Source organism: Homo sapiens, chromosome 15 (genome assembly GCF_000001405.40).
Source record: "Homo sapiens chromosome 15, GRCh38.p14 Primary Assembly".
In the NCBI taxonomy this organism is placed as follows: Eukaryota; Metazoa; Chordata; class Mammalia; order Primates; family Hominidae; genus Homo; species Homo sapiens.
The window spans coordinates 20,227,633-20,247,099 of record NC_000015.10 but is presented as its reverse complement, the minus strand read 5'-3'; the positions used below and the strand labels follow the sequence as shown (position 1 = coordinate 20,247,099).

At 46.8% G+C, this 19,467-nt stretch overlaps 1 pseudogene, besides 1 other annotated feature; it reads left to right on the top strand.

Moving 5' to 3' along the window:
• Positions 1-18,681, top strand: part of RHPN2P1 (rhophilin Rho GTPase binding protein 2 pseudogene 1) — a 48,446-nt pseudogene extending 29,765 nt beyond the window's left edge.
• Positions 2,177-2,678: an enhancer, noted in NCBI's record as "H3K4me1 hESC enhancer chr15:20449675-20450176 (GRCh37/hg19 assembly coordinates)". NCBI's record gives its function as "activates a minimal SCP1, AML or CMV promoter by ChIP-STARR-seq in naive H9 embryonic stem cells {active_cell/tissue: H9 hESC(naive)}" and the evidence as "EXISTENCE:reporter gene assay evidence [ECO:0000049][PMID:30033119]".

Here is a 19,467-nt window from a genome sequence, read left to right as displayed (position 1 = left end):
AGAAACATTTACTCACTTAAACCCCACGCAACACTATGAGGTGGGTCTCATGGCATCCCCATTTTACAGCTGAGGAAACTGAGACCCAGAGCGGTCACGTGGCTTGCCCTGCTCATAGCTGGTTTTCTTGCTGCCCCTTCAGAGTCTGGTCATGCAGGCCAGATCACATCAGTCTCCTGCTCACACCCCAGTGGGCTCCCATCTCAAGCAGAACAGGAGTGAGAGCCCTTATCTTGCACGCGTGAGATCCGCCATGATCTGGCCTTGCTCCTTCCCTGCACTCATTCTGTCCCGCCCTCCCTGCCTCCAGGCACACCTTAGCTTCTCCTTGCCCTTGAACACCTGTGCGTGCCCCTGCTCCAGGGCCCTCGCACCTGCTGCTCTTTCACATCCATCAGGGCTCTGCTCACAAAGACCATATCACAAAGCCTTCCTTGGCTGGGTGTGGTGGCTCATGCCTGCAATCCCAGCACTTTGGGAGGCTGAGGTGGGAGGATAGCTTGAAGTCAGGAGTTTGAGACCAGCCTGGGCGACATGGAGAAACCCCGTCTCTACCAAAAATACACTTAGCCAGATGTGGTGGTGTGTGCCTGTAATCCCAGCTACTTGGGAGGCTGAGGTGGGAGAGTCGCTTGAACCTGGGAGGCGGAGGTTGCAGTGAGCCAAGATCGTGCCACTGCATTCCAGCCTGGGTGACAGAGTGAGACTCCGTCTCAAGAAAAAAAAAAAAAAAGCCTTTCTTGGTCACCCATCATAGGACAACCCCATTCCCAGTCTTCTCCTACCATCTCTGCTTACCCTGCTTTATTTTTCTCTATAACCTCATCACCACCCCATCCATTACATATTTCTTGTCTTGTTAGTTATCTGTCTTCAATCACTACATGTAAACTCCATGAATGTGGGGGCAGTTTGTTTACTCGTTGCTTTATCTCTAGTGCCTAACACATTTGGTAAATATTTGTTGAGTGAACATCTTATGGACACAAGTGAGCTTATTACATATGCATTTAAGGGAGGCTTGGGCTGGGCGTGGTGACTCACGTCTGTCATCCCAGCACTCTGGGAGGCTAAGGCAGGTGGATTGCTTGAGGCCAGGAGTTTGAGACCAGCCTGGGCAACATAGCAATGATAATGAAATGATAATGATAATGAAAACATTATCCAAGTGTGGTGGTGCATGCCTGTGGTCCCAGCTACTCAAGAGTCAGAAGTGGGAATTTCAGTTGAGCCCAGGAGTTTGAGGCTGTGGTAAGCCATGATTGCACCACTGTACTCCAGCATGCGAAACAAAGTGAGACCCTGTCTCTAAATATAAAATATAAAATGAAATAAAATAATATTTTAATAAAAGGCTTGTTGTAACCAAGCGAGTTGTAGAGAAACGCCACACTTTGAGACTAATTCAGGAGTCATTTATTAGCCGGCAACTGAGAGACGGCTAATGCTCGAAATTCTCTCGGGCCTGAAGAAGGGGCTAGATTTTCTTTTATACTATGGTCTAAATAGGGGAGGGGGGTTTAACTGAAGCAATTTTACAGAAGCAGAATAGGCAAGAAGTTAAAAAAAGTAATTGGTTATAGAAGCAGTTACAAAAAATAAACAGTTCCAGGTGCAGGGGCTTAAACTATCACTGAGAGATAAATGCAGGGGCTTTAGGTACCTGCCACTGAGCACATCCCCAGGAGCTGCTGGTACAGCCTGCCTCAGTATCTTATCAGCAGTTTGCGTTCCTGGATGTGCTTGGAGTCAGCTTACACTAGTTATTCCCTTAAGGGGGATAAAGGGGGCTGCAAGTGAAGAAACTAAAATGGAGTCTGTCCGGCTCTCTCTGCTAGGAGAGAGTCACTCAGGTTAAAACAAGGTAGGGTATCACGGGCTCTAGCTATCCAGGCAGATTCTTTAGAAAAGAGAACGTCCAACCTCTTGGGCTGCCCCTTGGGCCCTTATGCTCTGCTTGGTGGATCTGCAGGTCACGTGGGTGCTGGCTTCCATCTGCGGGGAAGTCCCACCTGCACAGAGCCATGGCTCATCACGAGGAGTCAGTGCGGGAGGCCAGCCTCTGCAAGAAGCTGCGGAGCATTGAGGTGCTACAGAAGGTGCTGTGTGCCGCACAGGAACGCTCCCGGCTCACGTACGCCCAGCACCAGGAGGATGATGACCTGCTGAACCTGATCCACGCCCCCAGTGTTGTTGGTGAGTAACCTAGACTGTGTTCCCTCTGTGGGGGTGCCTGTGCCGCGGAAAGAGTACGCCTGGCCTGTGGGGGTTGAGCGAGCCCTCGCTGTGTGCTTGGCACAGGGAGGGCTGCACAGGGCAGGGACCGAGGTGCTTATTTCGCCCTGGAGTTCTCTTTTCTTTTTGAGATGGAGTCTCGCTCTGTTGCCCAGGCTGGAGTGCAGTGGCATGATCTCGGCTCACTGCAACCTCTGCTTCCCGGGTTCAAGTGATTCTTCTGCCTCAGCCTCCCGAGGAGCTGGGATTACAAGCGCCCACCACCACGCCCAACTAATTTTTGGATTTTTAGTAAAGATGGGGTTTCACCATGTTGGCCAGGCTGGTCTCGAACTCCTGACCTCAAGTGATCCGCCTGCCTTGGCCTCCCAAAGTGCTGGGATTACCAGAGTAAGCCACCACACCTGGCCTAGATACACTTTTTATGCTATTTGTTCTCGTGTAGAATCAGCCTGCCCTGGGATCCTTTGTTAGAAATTGACCAGCCTTATGTTAAGGGTAGTCCGAGCCTGCTGTGAAGATGCTGGTGGGGGTATGTAGCTGTCAATGGTTATGATTTGCCAAACCTCCTTTTCACTGGGAAATCCTCATACCACATTAATAATGAAAAGGTCAAGCACGGTGGCTCAAACCTCTAATCTCAGCACTTTGGGAGGCCGAGGCAGGAGGATTACTTGAGCTCAGGAGTTTGAGACCAGCCTGGGCAACATAGTGAGACCCCATCTCTACAAAAAATTTAAAAAAAATTCATCAGGTGTGGTGGTGCATACCTATAGTTCCAGCTACTCGGGAGGCTGAGGCAGGAGAATCATTTGAGTCCAGGAGGTCAAGCTGCAAGAGAGCTGTGATCGCACCACTGCACTCCAGCTTGCGCGACAGAGCGACACCCTGTCTCAAAATAGTAATAATGTTGAAAACAGAAAGCTCAATATCCCAGGACTGTGTCCAGTGAGGCATGGAACTTCCATAACAATAATACTTGAAACATAGATGACTTCTCAATAGGTTTTTTGTTTGTTTGTTTGTTTTTGAGAGGTCGTTTTGCTCTTGTCACCCAGGCTGGAGTGCAGTGGTGTGATCTCAGCTCACTGCAACCTCTGCCTCCCTGGTTCAAGCCTCAGCCTCCCAAGTAGCTGGTACTACAGGTGCGTGCCACCACGCCTGGCTAATTTTTTGTATTTTTAGTAGAGATGGGGTTTCATCATGTTGGCCAGGCTGGTCTTGAACTCTTGACCTCAGATGATCCTCCCACCGCGGCCTCCCAAAGTGCTGGGATTACAAGCATTAGCCCCCGTGCCCAGCCTCCTCATTAGGGTTTTATGAGTGCCAGAGAAGCCCACTAAGCCCCTTAAATATCAGGAAACCCCATGGGAATGTGTCTGGTTATCACTCCTTGGTCCCAGCTCAGGAATGAGTTATACCTCCTATGGCTCACAGGAGGTACCCAAATGGAAGGTAGAGTTCAACCTAGGTCGGGGGTTGAGCTGTGTTCCATCTTCTTGTACTACTTGTCTAAACCGAGGGGAAGGATGTGTGACTAAGAGAAAGTTCTGTACTGTCTCCTTCCCAAGGATCACTTTCTTTTTTCCCCCCCTGGAGTCTTACTCTGTCACCAGGCTGGAGTGCAGTGGCAAGACTTCAACTCACTGCAACCTCTGCCTCCTGGGTTCAAGTGATTCTCCTGCCTCAGCCTCCCAAGTAACTCGGATTACAGTCGCCTGCCACCATACCTGGCTAATTTTTGTATTTTTAATAGAGACGGGGTTTCACCATGCTGGCCAGACTGGTCTTGAACTTCTGGCCTCATTGATCCACCTGCCTCGGCCTCCCAAAGTGCTGGGATTACAGGCGTGAGCCACAACACCGGGCTATAAGGATCACTTTCAATTACAGAAACATTTATCCTCCCATTTCTAATCCTCTATTCTAGCTAAAACTGAGCAAGAGGTTGACATTATATTACCCCAGTTCTCCAAGCTGACAGTCACGGACTTCTTCTAGAAGCTGGTATGTTGAAAGCTCTCTACATAAATGACCTAAAGGGACAGCTCTTCACTTTGGTGAGTATGGTGTCTTAGTCCATGTGGGCTGCTATAACAAAATGCCTCAAACTGGGTGGCTTATGAACAGTAGAAATATATTTCTCAGTTCTGGAGGCTGGGAAGTCCAAGACCAAGGTATTGGCAGATTTGGTATCTGCTGAAGGCCCATGTTCTGGTTTATAGGTGGGGCCTTCTACCTGTGTCCTCATGGCAGAAAAGGTGATGAGCTCCCTTGGGCCTGTTTTAAAAGCATGTATCCCATTCTTGAGGGCTCCACCCCAAGACTGAATCACCTCTCAAGAGGCCCCACTTCCTAATAATTACATTGATGATTTTAATATACATTTTAAATTTTAATAAATATTAATAAAATTTTAATGTTTTAATATACAAACTTTGGGAGGGTACAAACATTCAGACCATAGCATATTTTATTTTATTCATTTATTTTTATTTATTTGTTTTTTGAGACAGAGTCTCACTCTGTTGCCCAGGCTGGAGTGCAGTGGTGCGATCTCGGCTCAGTGCAGCCTCCACCTCCCAGGTTCAAGTGATTCTCCAGCTTCAGCCTCCCGAGTAGTCGAGATTACAGGCCTGTGCCACTATGCTCAGCTAATTTTGTATTTTTAGTAGAGACAGGGTTTCACCATGTTGGCCAGGCTGATCTTGAACTCCTGGGCTCCAGTGATCCACTCACCTCGGCCTCTCAAAGTGCTGGGATTATAGGCCTGAGCCACTGTGCCCGGCCCCATAGCATATTTTAAAAGTAGTTTTTAGGTATTGTCTATTTGAAATTTTTTAAAATATTTTTTAATTTTTTTTAGAGATGTGGTCTCACTGTGTCACCTAGGCTGGATTACAGTGGCATGGTCATAGCTCACTGCAGCCTGAACCTTCTGGGCTCAAGCGATCCTCCTACCTTAGCTACCCTAGTAGATGGGACTACAGGCAAACACCACCACGTCCAACTAATTTTTATTTCTTGTAGAGATGGGGTCTTGCTATGTTGCCTAGGCTGGTCTCAAACTCCTGGGCTCCAACCATCCTCCTGCCTAGGCATCCCAGAGTGCTGGGATTACAGGTATGAGCCACTATGCCTGACCTGAGATTTTTTTCCTTTTTTTTTTTTTTTTTTTAGACAGGGTCTAACTCTGTTTTCACCCAGGCTGGAGTGCAGTGGCACAATCAGTTCACTGAAGCCTCGAACTGCTGGGCTCAAGAAGTCCTCCTGCCTCAGCAGCCTGAGTAGATGGAACCATAGGCGTGCACCACCATGCCTGGCTAATTCTTTTATGTTTTTAGTAGAGAATGGTTCCCGCTATGTTGCCCAAGCTGGTCTCAAACCTCTGGCCTCAAGCAATCCTTCTGCCTTGGTCACACAAAGTGCTTAGGATTACAGGCATGACATGCCTGGTCTTAAATTGTTTATATTAGAGATTTTATTTAAGATAATTTTGGCTGGGTGCAGTGGCTCACGTCTTTAATCCCAGCACTTTGGGAGGCTGAGGCGGGCGGATCACCTGAGGTCAGGAGTTTGAGACCAGCCTGGCCAACATGGTGAAACCCCATCTCTGCTAAAAATACAAAAATTAGCCAGGCATGGTGGTTCGCACCTGTAATTCCAGCTACTCAGGAGAATTACTTGAACCCGGGAGGCAGAGGCTGCAGTGAACCGAGATCACACCACCACACTCTAGCCTGGGTGATAGAGTGAGACAATGTCTCAAAAAAAAAGAAAAGAAAAAGATAATTAATACAATGTCTAAAAGATAATTTTATTGAAAATATATTGGGTATGTTTGAGAAGATGGCTTTCCAGCTTCTTGCATGACTGCTGTAGCATGTATGCCCCCAGATGTGTCATTTGTCCCTGAACAAGGCCAAGTGAGATCTTCAAGGACAGCAGGCAAAATTCCCTTTAGCTTTCAAGCGTCTGATCTAGCCTTCAAATCCTACACCTAACGATGCTCTCTTCCAAAGGGCCCCTTATCTGTGTTTTTGGCTAACAAGCAGTGGATGCCTCCTCGAAGCAACCGCTTCACCGCAGAAGAAGGGGACTTGGGGTTCACCTTAAGAGGGAACGCCCCCGTTGAGGTTCACTTCCTGGATCCTTACTGCTCTGCCTTGGTAAGCACATGCTTTTCTTGGTTGGCAGCAAATACAGATATCTGGGTGATTGAATTTAGGGCGGGTTCACCCACGTCAAAGGCCTGACTTGATGTGAAAGGCCTCATGGGTGCTACATTCCCTAAAAGAAAAGGATTAATTTTTACTGTCTTTATTTTGTTTTTAGTATTTTTTTAGACGTTGGGAGGTGGAGGCTGCAGTGAGTCGTCATCATGCAGTGGCGCGATCTCAGGGCTCACTGCAGCTTCTGCTTCCTGGGTTCAAGTGATTCTCCTGTCTCAGCTTCCTGAGTAGCTGGGATTACAGGCACGTGCCACCAGACTCAGCTAATTTTAGTTTTTGTTTTTGTTTTTTGAGACACAGTCTCGCTCTGTCGCCCAGGCTAGAGTGCAGTGGCGCGATCTTGGTTCACTGCAACCTCCACCTCCTGGGTTCAAGTAATTCTCCTGCCTCCACCTGCTGAGTAGCTGGGATTACAGGTGCGTGCCACCATGCCCGGCTAATTTTTTGTGTGTTTTTAGTAGAGACGGGGTTTCACCGTGTTAGCCAGGATGGTCTTGATCTCCTGATCTTGTGATCTGCCCACCTCAGCCTCCCAAAGTGCTGGGATTACAAGTGTGAGCCACCTGGCCCGGCCTAATTTTTGTATTTTTAGTAGAAACGGGGTTTTGCCATGTTGGCCAGGCTAGTCTCAAACTCCTGGCCTCAAGTATTCTGTCTGCCTTGGCCTCCCAGAGTGCTAGGATTATAGGCGTGAGCCACTGTGCCTGGCCAATTTTGACTTTTTTTTTTTTAATTGCACCCAGGCTGGAGGGCAGTGGCACGATTTCGGCTTACTGCAATGTCTGCCTCCCGGGTTCAAGCAATTCTCCTGCCTCAGCGTCCCAGGTAGCTAGGACTACAGGTGCCCACCACCACACCTGGCAGATTTTTGTATTTTTAGTAGAGATGGGTTTCACCGTGTTGTTCAGGCTGGTCTTGAACTACTGACCTCAAGTGATCTACCCGTCTCAGCCACCCAAAGTGAATTTTTGCTTTCTTGATGCGAACTTACGCAAATACCTATTTTGTTAATGGGGACTGATTCAAGGATTTGAGTGAACAAAACGTTGACTTATTTTCAACAATACTTTTTCAGGTGGCAGGAGCCCGGGGAGGAGATTATATTGTCTCCATTCAGCTTGTGGATTGTAAGTGGCTGACGGTGAGTGAGGTTATGAAGCTGCTGAAGAGCTTTGGTGAGGACGAGATCGAGATGAAAGTTGTGAGCCTCCTGGACTCCACATCATCCATGGTGAGCACTGACACCTCCCTGGGCAGTCAGTAGTGGTGTGGAGTGAAATCTGCATGAGTTCAGCCCCAGAGGTGTTTATCAGACCCTCTGTCTCCTGCCTGTGTAACATGGTACAAATGACTGGACTCCCAGGCTTGTAATCACTGTAATGTGCTCACCTTGGGTCAAAGAGAAAATTGGCAAACTTTTTCTTTTTAAAGACAGGCTGGTTTGCAGTGGTATGATCATGGCTTACTGCAGCCTCTATCTCCTGGGTTTAAGTGATCCTCCCACCTCAGCCACATGAGCACCTGGAGTTATAGGCACCCACTACCACCCCTGGCTCATTATTTATTTATTTATTCATTTTTTTTTTTATTATTTTTTTTGAGATGGAGTCTCGCTCTGTCACCCAGGCTGGAGTGCAGTTGTGCAATCTCGGCTCACTGCAAGCTCTGCCTCCCAGGTTCACGCCATTCTCCTGCCTCAGCCTCCCAAGTAGCTGGGACTACAGGCGCCTGCCAATGTGCCTGGCTAATTTTTTGTATTTTTAGTAGAGATGGGGTCTCACCATGTTAGCCAGGATGGTCTCGATCTCCTGACCTCGTGATCCACCTGCCTCGGCCTCCCAGAGTGCTGGGATTACAGGTGTGAGCCACCATGCCCAGCCCATTCTTTATTTTTTGTAGAGACAGGTTCTCGCTGTGTTGCCAAGACTGATCTTGAACTCCTGGGCTCAAGCCATCCTCTCACCTTGGCCTCCCAAAGTGCTGGGATTACAGGCATGAGCCACTGCACCCTGCTAGCAAACTTTTAAAAATATCCTGTAGATAAAATAATCAACTGATCTATTTTTCTGATCAAATTGTTTAATTACAAAAGTAATACATACTCATAGTGAAAAAAACAAAAAACAAAAAAAAAATTCTAATGGTACAGAAGAGCTTAAGATGACCTGTGAAAGTTAAGACAATCCCTCTGTACACCCTAGAGGCAATGTCAGCCATGTTCTGGGAGATTTGGGAAGCATTTGAGTCTCTCAAGTTCACCTGCACAGTTACCACCTTTAATTTTCCCCAGGTGAGGCTGGGCACGGTGCTCATGTTTGTAATCTGAGTACTTTTGGAGGCTGAGGTGTGTGGATTGCTTGAAGTCAGGAGTTCAAGACCAGCCTGACCAACAAGGCAAACCCTGTCTCTACTGAAAATATAAAAATTAGCTGGACATGGTGGTGTGCGCCTGTAACCCCAGCTACTCAGGAGGCTGAGGCAGGAGAATAATTTGGGAGGTGGAGGTTGCAGTGAGTGGAGATCACGCCATTGCACTCCAGCCTGGGCAACAGAGTGAGACTCTGTCTGCAAAAAAACCCTAAAATTTTCCCCAAGTGCTAGCGTTCATGCCACACTCAATGACGTTCTCCTCTGCACTTTGCCACACTTAATGACGTACCCTCGACCTTCCCTCTGTAACAACAGTCATTTATTCATTCAACAAATATTGATTGAGGATCAATTGGGTGCCAGACACTCTCTTAGGTGTCAGAGCTCCAGTTTACATTACACAGGTAAGGTCCCTGCCGCCCCCCACGAAGCTGGCACTAAGTCAGCAAATAAATGGTCAGGATTTTGATAAGTGTTGTAAAGGAAAAAAGACCTGTAATGGGGTGGAATGACTGGGGAGGAGGTGAGACTCTATCTAGGCAGGGCTGGAACAGACATGAGAGTGACCAGGAGGTTCGAGCCAGTGGCAGAGAGACAAGAAAGGCCTTCTGGGCAGGGGCACCTACAGGTACAGGGCCCCTGCAGCAGAATAAGCTTCTCCTACCAGAGAGGCCAAAGAAAGGCCTTTTGGCAAGAGCACCAGGACAAGGAAGGGAGCCGTGGGAAGTGAGGTAGGAAGGAGGCCTCGGTGGCAGTGGTGGGAGCTTGGAAGCCACTGGGCCTTTTCAGAAGGGGAGCGGCATGGTGTGATGTTTGTTTTAGAAGTGCGTCTGCTGCCGGAGACTGGCCATGGCAGTTGTCCAGGCTGGTGACGTTAGTGGCTGAGGTGATGGGGGTGGCTGTAGAGTTGGAGAGACGTGAGTGTCCCTGGGACATAGTTTGGAGGTAGAGCTGATGGGGGATTTGTGGATGATTTGTGTAAAGGAGACAGTGAACAGGGAGGTGAGGCCTCAGTTTTTGGCTTGATCAATCTCATGGGTAGTGGTTATTTTTCTACCTTTAATTTCCTTTTTCTCTTGTTTTTTTTTTTTTTTGTTTGTTTGTTTTTGTTTTTTTTTTTTTTTTTTTGAGACAGGGTCTCACTCTGTTGCTTGGCTGGAATGCAGTGGTGCAATCATAGCTCACTAGAGCCTTGACTTCCTGGGCTGAGGCAATCCTTTTGCCTCAGCCTCCCGAGTAGCTGGAACTACAGGTGTGTACCACTATGCCTGGCTAATTTGTTTATTTACCTATTGTAAATTTTTTTTGGTAGAGATGGGTCCTTGACATATTGCCAAGGTTGGCCTCAAACTCCTGGCCTTAAGCGATCCTTCCACCTCCACCTCCCAAAGTGTTGGGATTACAGGCATTAGCCACCATGCCCGGCCTGGTTATTTTTCATAATGATGGGTAATGGGTGTGAGGGAGGTGAAGGAGAGAAATCAAGAGTCATGTTTTGAATGTTTCAGAAGCTATTAGCAGTCAGACGTAAGCATAAAGGAGGAGATTGGATGTGAAGTCTTCAGTTCGAGGAAGAAATCAGAGCTAGAAATAAATATTTGAGAATCATTGCACAGGGATGATATTTGAGGCTGTGAGACAAAATGCAGCTCCCTGCAAGGGGGCTAGGGCTGAGGTCTAAACATTTAGAGATCAGTTGGAAGAGAAGCAAGTGCAAAGAAAATGCAGGAGAGTTCAGAGATGTCGGAGGAAAGGAACTTCTCAAATTAAGAGGAGAAAGCTTTGCAGTGAGAGAGTGATGGGTTGCATTGAATGCAGTTGAGAGGTGGAGAATGAGGTTGGCTTAGCTGTGCCTATTGTATTTGGCAGCAGGATGAAAAGACACTTTGGTGGAGAGGTGGCAACAGAAGTCAGTTGAGAGAGGGCCAGAGAGCCAATGGATTTTGAGTCCGTGGATATGAAATGCTCAGCATAGGCAAATCCAGAGACAGAAAGTAGATGGTGCTGGGGCTGGGCAATGGGAGTGGGGAGGGACTGCTGAAGGGTCATAAGGTAGAAGGTTTCTTTTTGGGGGGATGGAAATGTTCTGAAATTAGGTAGTAGTGATGGTCACCTAACTTTGTGAATATACTAAAAAATCACTGGTGTTTTGGCATGCTGGCTCACACCTGTAATTCCAGCACTTTGAGAGGCTGAGGCAGTATGTTCGCTTGAGCCCAGGAGTTCGAGACCAGCCTGGGCAACATGGCGAGACCTTGTCTCTACAAAAAATAAAAAAAATTAGCGAGGCATGGTGGCACACACCTGTAGTCCCAGCTGCTTGGGAGGCTGAGGCCGGAGGATCACTTGAGCCCAGGGAGGTTGGGGCTGCAGGGAGCTATGATTGTACCACTGCACTCCAGCCTGGGTGTCAGAGCAAGACCCTGTCTCAAAAATAATAAATAAAAGCCACAGAAGGGTATTAAAATGGTGAATTTTATGCATGTATGTGAATTATATCTCAAAAAAAATTTTTTTTTTTTGAGACGGAGTCTCACACTATCGCCCAGGCTGGAGTGCAGTGGCGTGATCTTGGCTCACTGCAACCTCTGCCTCCAGGATTCAAGTGATTCTCCTGCCTCAGTTTCCTGAGTGGCTGGGATTATAGGCGGGCACCGCTCTGCCTGGCTAATTTTTGTTTTAGTGGAGACAGGGTTTCACTACGTTGCTCAGGCTGGTCTCGAACTCCTGACCTCATGATCCATCCACCTCGGCCTCCCGAAGTACTGGGATTACAGGCGTGAGCCACCGCACCTGATATACTTCAAATTTTAAAAGAAGATAAAGTCAAGGGACTCAGAGCATCTTGGGAGAAGGGATCATAAGAAATTATATTTTTAGGGACAAAATGCATGGAGTTTATGGACAAGTGATTAAGGTCCCCAGCAGAAACAGAAAAGAAGTTTGTCCAAAAGGAGGTTAGAGAAAAGAGCCGAACCATACACTGAAGGTTGGAGTAGGGACCCCATCAGCAGAGGCCTGAGTTTATGGGGCATGCCCTGCCCCCTGTGAGAGGTGCAAAGGCTTGACTTTCAAGCCTGTGACATCTTTACACCAGGCCAAGGAAGGGGCTGCTGTAATAGCTAAAAGCAAGGGTTCTGCACTCAGACAGTCTAGATGTGTATCCTGGCTTTCCACCACCATTGTGTGGCCTTCAGCAAGTCAGGGAATAGCTGTGAGCCTCAGGATAAACTGAGTTTACATAAAGCCCTTCCAAGAGGGCCAAACATGAGCTACATTTCAATTCACAATAGACATTATAATGATGATAACCATGATCATGATGTTTATTCTTTTCACCCAGCAGGATGTCTTTAATTTTTTTAAAAATAATGTTTTTAGGCCGGGCACAGTGGCTCACGCCTGTAATCCCAGCACTTTGGGAGGCTGAGACGGGTGGATCACGAGGTCAGGAGATCGAAACCATCCTGGCTAACATGGTGAAACCCCATCTCTACTAAAAATACAAAAAATTAGCTGGGCGTGGTGGCTGGTGCCTGTAGTCCCAGCTCCTTGGGAGACTGAGGCAGGAGAATGGCGTGAACCCAGGAGGTGGAGCTTGCAGTGAGCTGAGATCGTGCCACTGCCCTCCAGCCTGGGTGACAGAGCGAGACTCTGTCTCAAAAAAAAAAAATGTTTTTAGTCTGGGCACAGTGGTTCACTCCTATAATCCTAGCACTTTGGGAGGCCGAGGCAGGTGGATCACTTGAAGCCAGGAGTTGGAGACCATCCTGGCCAACATGGCAAAACCCTATCTCTACTAAAAATACAATAATTAACAGGATGTGGTGGTGTATACCTGCAATCCCAGCTACGTGGGAGGCTGAGGCATAAGAATCGCTTGAGCCTGGGAGGCAGAGGTTGCAGTGAGCCGAGATCGTGCCACTGTACTCCAGCCGGGGCAACAGAGTAAGACCCTGTCTAGAAAAAAAAAAGTTTGTTTTTTGTTTTGAGACACAGTCTCGCTCTCATTGCCCTGGCGCGATCTTGGCTCACTGTGGCCTTTACTCTTGGGCTTAAGTGATCCCCCCACCTCTGCTTCCTGAGTAGCTAGGACTACAGGCATGCAACACCATACTCAGCTAATTTTTCATATTTTTTGTAGAGATGGGGCTTCACCGTGTTGCCCTAGCTGTTCTCTAACTTCTAAGCTCAAGCAATCCGCCTACCTTGCCTCCCAAAGTGCTGGGATTACAGGCATGAGCCAGCATGCCCGGCCAAATAATTTCTTTTGTTGTTGTTTTTTGTTTTGTCTTGTTTGTTTTGAGACAGGGTCTCACTCAGTTGCCCAGACTGGAGTGCAATAGTGCAATCATAGTTCACTATAGCCTCGAGTTCTAGGGCTCAAAAGATCCTCCCTTCTCATCATCTGAGGTCAGGAATTCTAGACCAGCCTGGTCAACATGGTGAAACCTGGGTGTGGTGGTGGTGGGTGCCTGTAATCCCAGCTACTTGGGCAGCCAAGGCAGGAGAATTGCTTGAACCCAGGAGGCAGAGGTTGCAGTGAGCCGAGATCATGCCACTGCACTCCAGCCTGGGCAAGAGAGGGAGACTCCATCTCAAAAAAAAAAAAAAAAATCCTCCCAAGTTGCTGGGACTACAGGTGTGCACCACTATACCCAGCTAATTTTTAATTTTTTTTTGTAGTGACAGTCTCATTTTGTTGCCCAGCCTGGTCCCAAACTCCTGGGCTTAAGCAATCTTCCTGCCTCCGCCTCCCAAAGTGTTAGTTTTACAGGAATGAGCCAGTGCACCAGGCCAAAAGTAATTTCCTTTCATCTTTTATTTAACTAATTTTGTAGTGACGGGGTCTAACTAAGTTATCCAAGCTGATCTTGAATTCCTAGCCTCAAGAGACCCTCTTGAATCAGCCTCCCGAATAGTTGGGATTACAGGTGTGAGACACTGTACCTGGCTCTTTTTTTTTTTTTTGGAGATAGAGTCTTGTTCTTGTCATCCAGGCTGGAGTGCAGTGCTACAATCTTGGCTCACTGCAACCTCCGCTTCCCGGGTTCAAGCAATTCTCCTGCCTCAGCCTCCCGAGTAGCTGGGATTACAGGCACCCACCATGATGCCTGGCTAATTTTTGTATTTTTAGTAGAGATGGGGTTTCACCACATTGGCCAGGCTGATCTTGAACTCCTGGCTTCCGGTGATTGGCCTGCCTTGGCCTCCCAAAAGTGCTGGAATTACAGGAGTGAGCCACCATTCCCAGCCCCTGGTTTTTTAAAAATAATTTTTAAAAAATAATTTATTTTTGTCTATTAATTTTTATGATAAGGATTTTAGATAATGACAGCCAAGCACTGTTTTTAGCGACTGAACCTTTCAAACAAAATCAAATAAAGAGAGCATTTAGCCTAGCACTCTGGCTGAACCGATGACCTGCTGCCCTTGGCTACCCTCTTGACTACAGTGGGGATCCCTAACTGAACAAATCTAAGCTTGGAATCAAGCTCTGGAATTACGCCCTGACTGCCGTTCACAAGCTGTGTAACCTTCAGCACGTTCATACCCTCCCTGGGCCTCAGTTTTCTCATCCAGAGGATGGAAGAGTTAGGCCTACACAGTGGTTTTAAACTGTGCTCTGTAAAGTCCTAAGAGTTCTACAGGGGTACCCTGGTGGATTTGAGCGAGGAGTGGGTGGCAGGGAAAGAAATAGTAAATGGAGCTGGGCACAGTGGCTCAAGCCTGTAATCCCAGCACTTTGGGAAGCTGAGGCAGGTGGATCACTTGAGGCCAGAAGTTCAAGACCAACCTGGCCAACATGGTGAAACCCTGACTCTACTAAAAATACAAAAATTATCTGGGCATGGTGGCATGTGCCTGTAATCCCAGCTACTTGGGAGGCTGAGGCAGGAGAATCACTTGAACCTGGAAGTGGAGGTTGCAGTGAGCCAAGATTGGGCCACTGCACTCCAGCCTGGTGACAGCAAGACTCTGTCTCAAAAGAAAAAAAAAAGGCTTTTCAAAGAAAGTAGTGGTACACATTGCAGGAGTGAGAGAGAGTGTATGTGGGTATGATACTGGGGTGGACCTGGAGGGGAATAGGGTCAAGAAAGGCTTTACTTTTTTTTTTTTCTTTTTGAGACAGAGTCTCGCTCTGTCGCCCAGGCTGGAATGCAGTGAGTGGCGCTATCTCAGCTCACTGCAAGCTCCACCTCCTGGTTCATGCCATTCTCCTGCCTCAGCCTCCCGAGTAGCTGGGACTACAGGTGCCCGCCACCATGCCCGGCTAATTTTTTGTATTTTTAGTAGAGGCAGGTTTCACCGTGTTAGCCAGGATGGTCTCAATCTCCTGACCTTGTGATCCGCCCGCCTTGGCTTCCCAAAGTGCTGGGATTACAGGCGTGAGCCACTGTGCCTGGCCAAGAAAGGCTTTTCAAAGAATGTGATGGTATGCATTGCAGGAGTGTGTGTGTGTGTGTAGAGAGAGGGGTGTGTGTATGTGTGTAGAGAGGGGTGTGTGTGTGTGTGTAGAGAGGGGTGTGTGTGTGTGTGTAGAGAGAGGAGTGTGTGTGTGTGTAGAGAGAGAGGGGTGTGTGCGTGTGTGTGTGTAGAGATCTGGGAGGCAAGGGTTCCTGGAGGAGAGAGGGAATGGGATCCAGGCACACAGAAGGGCTTGGTCTTGGGGGATGGATGCCATGAAGTATACGGCAGGGATTTCAGGAGGGTGTGTGAGTGGCTTCAGGAGGAGAGCGAAGATAAGAAACAAGTATACAGGAGAAAAGGAAACGAAATTACTAGGGACACACAAGAGTGCCAGGAAATGGGTGCCTATTAGAGGTTTGGGGTCAGGTTAGAATTCCAAGGGAAGCCTTGGTGAGTGTCCTCCAGCAATGCACAACCTTTCAGATACAGGCCCTAGGGGAGGCAGAGGGCGGAGATGAGCAAGTTAGCATTGCTGGGGGCAGATGGAAGAGAACTGAGGGTATTTATAAGGCAGTGGTTTTGATACACAATGGACTTTGAGCAGCTGAGGGTTGGGAAATGCTTTCAGGCCTCACATCTGTCTCCAGGATTATTCGTTTTATTATTGTTTTAAATGACATTGTATGTGCTCCGTAAAACATGGTGGAGTTAGTGGTCAGTTTTCCAGAAAAGGAAGAGGCATCTCCATCCTTAGGGGCTCAAAGTACCCCCTACTTTATTGCTGCATAACTCAGATTCCTGAGGGTTTATTTTATTTATTTATTTATTATTTATTTATTTTTTGTGATAGAGTCTTACTCCATCACCCAGGCTGGAGTGCAGTGACGTGATCTTGGCTCACTGCAACCTCCACCTCCTGGGTTCAAGTGATTCTTCTGCCTCAGCTCCTGAGTAGCTGGGATTGCAGGTGTGTGCCACCACACCTGGCTAATTTTTGTATTTTTACTAGAGATGGAGTTTCACCATGTTGGCCACCATGGTCTTGAACCCCTGGCCTCAAGTGATCTGCCCACCTCAGCCTCCCAAAGTGTTGGGATTACAGGTGTAAGACACTGTGCCCGGCCCCTCTTAGGGTTTATATTAGGAACAATGTCCTCAACTATTGCAGCGATATATTGTATGCCTAATGTTAGTGCCAGAACATAGTAGACCATCAATAAACATGTGGCGAACTAAACAATCTCAATGTTAGGCAAACCTTAGAAGCTGGTGATAGCCCATGTGGAAGTCTTCAGAAAGCAAGCTTCCTTAGATTTCCAGTTTGAATCCTACATGATTCTTGGAAAGTTAACAGTAGAGAGTGTTTAATGGTACAAAGTTTCAGCTGAGGAAGATGAAAAAGTTTTAGAGATGGATGGTGGCAGTGGAGCATAATGATGTGAATGTAGTTAATGCCACTGAACTCTACACTTGAAAATGATGAAAATGGCACTCCAGCCTGGGCGACAGAGCGAGACTCCATCTTAAAAAAAAAAAAAAAAGAAAAAGAAAAAAAAAGAAAAAAGAAAATCAGGTGTAGAATAGTGCAGTATATTCCTTTTAAGAAAATGAATGGTAATATACTTATGTACATACAGAAATACCTGTACATGCACATCATCTCTAGAAGTATAACATGGAGGGCCTAGAAGCCCAGGTGACAGGGAGACCTATTGCTCACTGCATATTCTTTTTTTTTTCCTTCCCTTTCCCTCTTCCCTTCTCTTCTCCTCTTCCCTTTCCTTTCCCCTCTTCCCTTCCCCCCCGCCCTTTTTTTGAGACAGAGGTGTCACTCTGTTGCCCAGGCTGGAGTGCAGTGGCACAATCACAGCTCACTATATAGCCTCAACCTCCTGGGCTCAAGCATTCCTCCCCTCTAAGCCTCTCAGGTAGCTGGGACTGTAGTCGTGAGCCACCACGCCCCATCCTATACTTTCATATTCGTGACCATTAGTATTATTACTTTCTCAAATAGAAGAAGAACCTTAAAATGTGAGTTGTGGCTCCTAAGCTTAAATTGTTACTATTGAGTACATTCCTTAAAAGTTATCCTTGTTGGGCTGGGCGCGGTGGCTCATGCTTGTAATTCTAGCACTTTGGGAGGCTGAGGCAGGTGGATCACGAGGTCAGGAGATCGAGACCCTGGTGAAACCCCGTCTCTACTAAAAATACAAAAAATTAGCCAGGTGTGGTGGTGGGCATCTGTAGTCCCAGCTACTCAGAGAGGCTGAGGCAGGAGAATGGCATTAACCCGGGAGGTGGAGCTTGCAGTGAGCCGAGATCGTGCCACTGCACTCCAGCCTGGGCGACAGAGTGAGACTCCGTCTTAAAAAAAAAAAAAACAAAAACAAAAAACAAACAAACAAAAATTATCCTTGTTGCACCTGGTGGCACATACCTAGAGCCCCAGCTACTCAGGAGGCCAAGGCAGGAAGATCACTTGATCCCAGGAGTTCAAGACCAGCCTGGGCAACATAGCAAGACCCTGTCTCAAAAAAGAAAAACAGTTTGTCCTTGTTTTAAGAACCTAATTCTATATAAGCATTGGTCACCTGAGTTTCCGAATTATGTCTGTTTAATTTATTTTTTGGAGACAGAGTCCTGCTCTGTCACCCAGGTTGGAGTGCAGTGGTGCAATCTCAGCTCACTGCAACCTCCACCTCCTGGGTTCAAGTGATTCTCGTGCCCAGCCTTGCAAGCAGCTGGGACTACAGACATCCACCACCACACCTGGTTAATTTTTGTATTTTAGTAGAGATGGGGTTTCACCATGTTGGCCATGCTGGTCTTGGACTCCTGACCTCAAGTGATCCACCTTCCTCGGACTCCCAAAGTGTTGGGATTACAGGCGTGAGCCACTGCGCCTGGCCAAACTTCGTAGTTTTTATCATCTATCTTGATGATGTCTGACGCCCTTTTTCTTTTCTATGTGCAGCATAATAAGAGTGCCACATACTCCGTGGGAATGCAGAAAACGTACTCCATGATCTGCTTAGCCATTGATGATGACAACAAAACTGATAAAACCCAGAAAATCTCCAAGAAGCTTTCCTTCCTGAGTTGGGGCACCAACAAGAACAGACAGAAGTCAGCCAGCACCTTGTGCCTCCCATCGGTCGGGGCTGCACGGCCTCAGGTCAAGAAGAAGCTGCCCTCCCCTTTCAGCCTTCTCAACTCAGACAGTTCTTCATACTAATGTGAGGAAACAAACACGTTCAGGCCCCGAACATTTCTGGTGCTGACTCGGCCTTAAACATTTGTGCCATAATGGAAAATATCTATCTATTTTCAAATCCTGTTTTTCTCATAGCGTAAACTCACATTTGATGTGTTTTTATGAAGGAAAGTAACCAAGAAACCTCTAGGAATTAGTGAAAAAAGAACTTTTTTGAGGCGTGTTACTATACTGCTGTAAGTTATTTATTATATAAAGTATTGTAAATAGAATAGTTTTGAAGATATGAAATATGGCTATTTTTAATGGTGACAGTTATGACTTTTAGTCACTATTAAATTGGGGTTACCTATAATAATACAATTTGTAGTTGTTTCCAGGTTTGGCTAATAATCATTCCTTAACCTAGAATTCAGATGATCCTGGAATTAAGGCAGGTCAGAGGACTATAATGATAGAATTAAATTAGTGTCACTAAAAACTGTCCCAAAGTGCTGCTTCCTAATAGGAATTCATTAACCTAAAACAAGATGTTACTATTATATCGATATACTATGAATGCTATTTCTAGAAAAAGTCTAGTGCCAAATTTGTCTTATTAAATAAAAACAACGTAGGAGCAGCTTTTCTTCTAGTTTGATGTCATTTAAGAATTGCTAACACAGTGGCAGTGTTAGATGAAGATGCTGTCTACAAGGTAGATAATATACTGTTTGATACTCAAAACATTTTTCATTTTGTTTAAAGTAGAAGTTACATAATTCTATATTTTAAGTCTTGGGTAAAAAAGTAGTTTTACATTTTATGAAGTAAAGATGTAAATGATTCAGGTTTAAAGCTCTATTTGACTTTGTTGTTGTTGTTGTTTGAGATAGAGTCTTGCTAGTGTCAATAGCAAAAGCCTTCTAGCTATCTGCCTTTCAGCTACATGGTGGGGCATACTTAACTGTTTTCTTTGATGTTGGGCATAGCATGGACCTACTTGGTTCACTATCTGACACTATC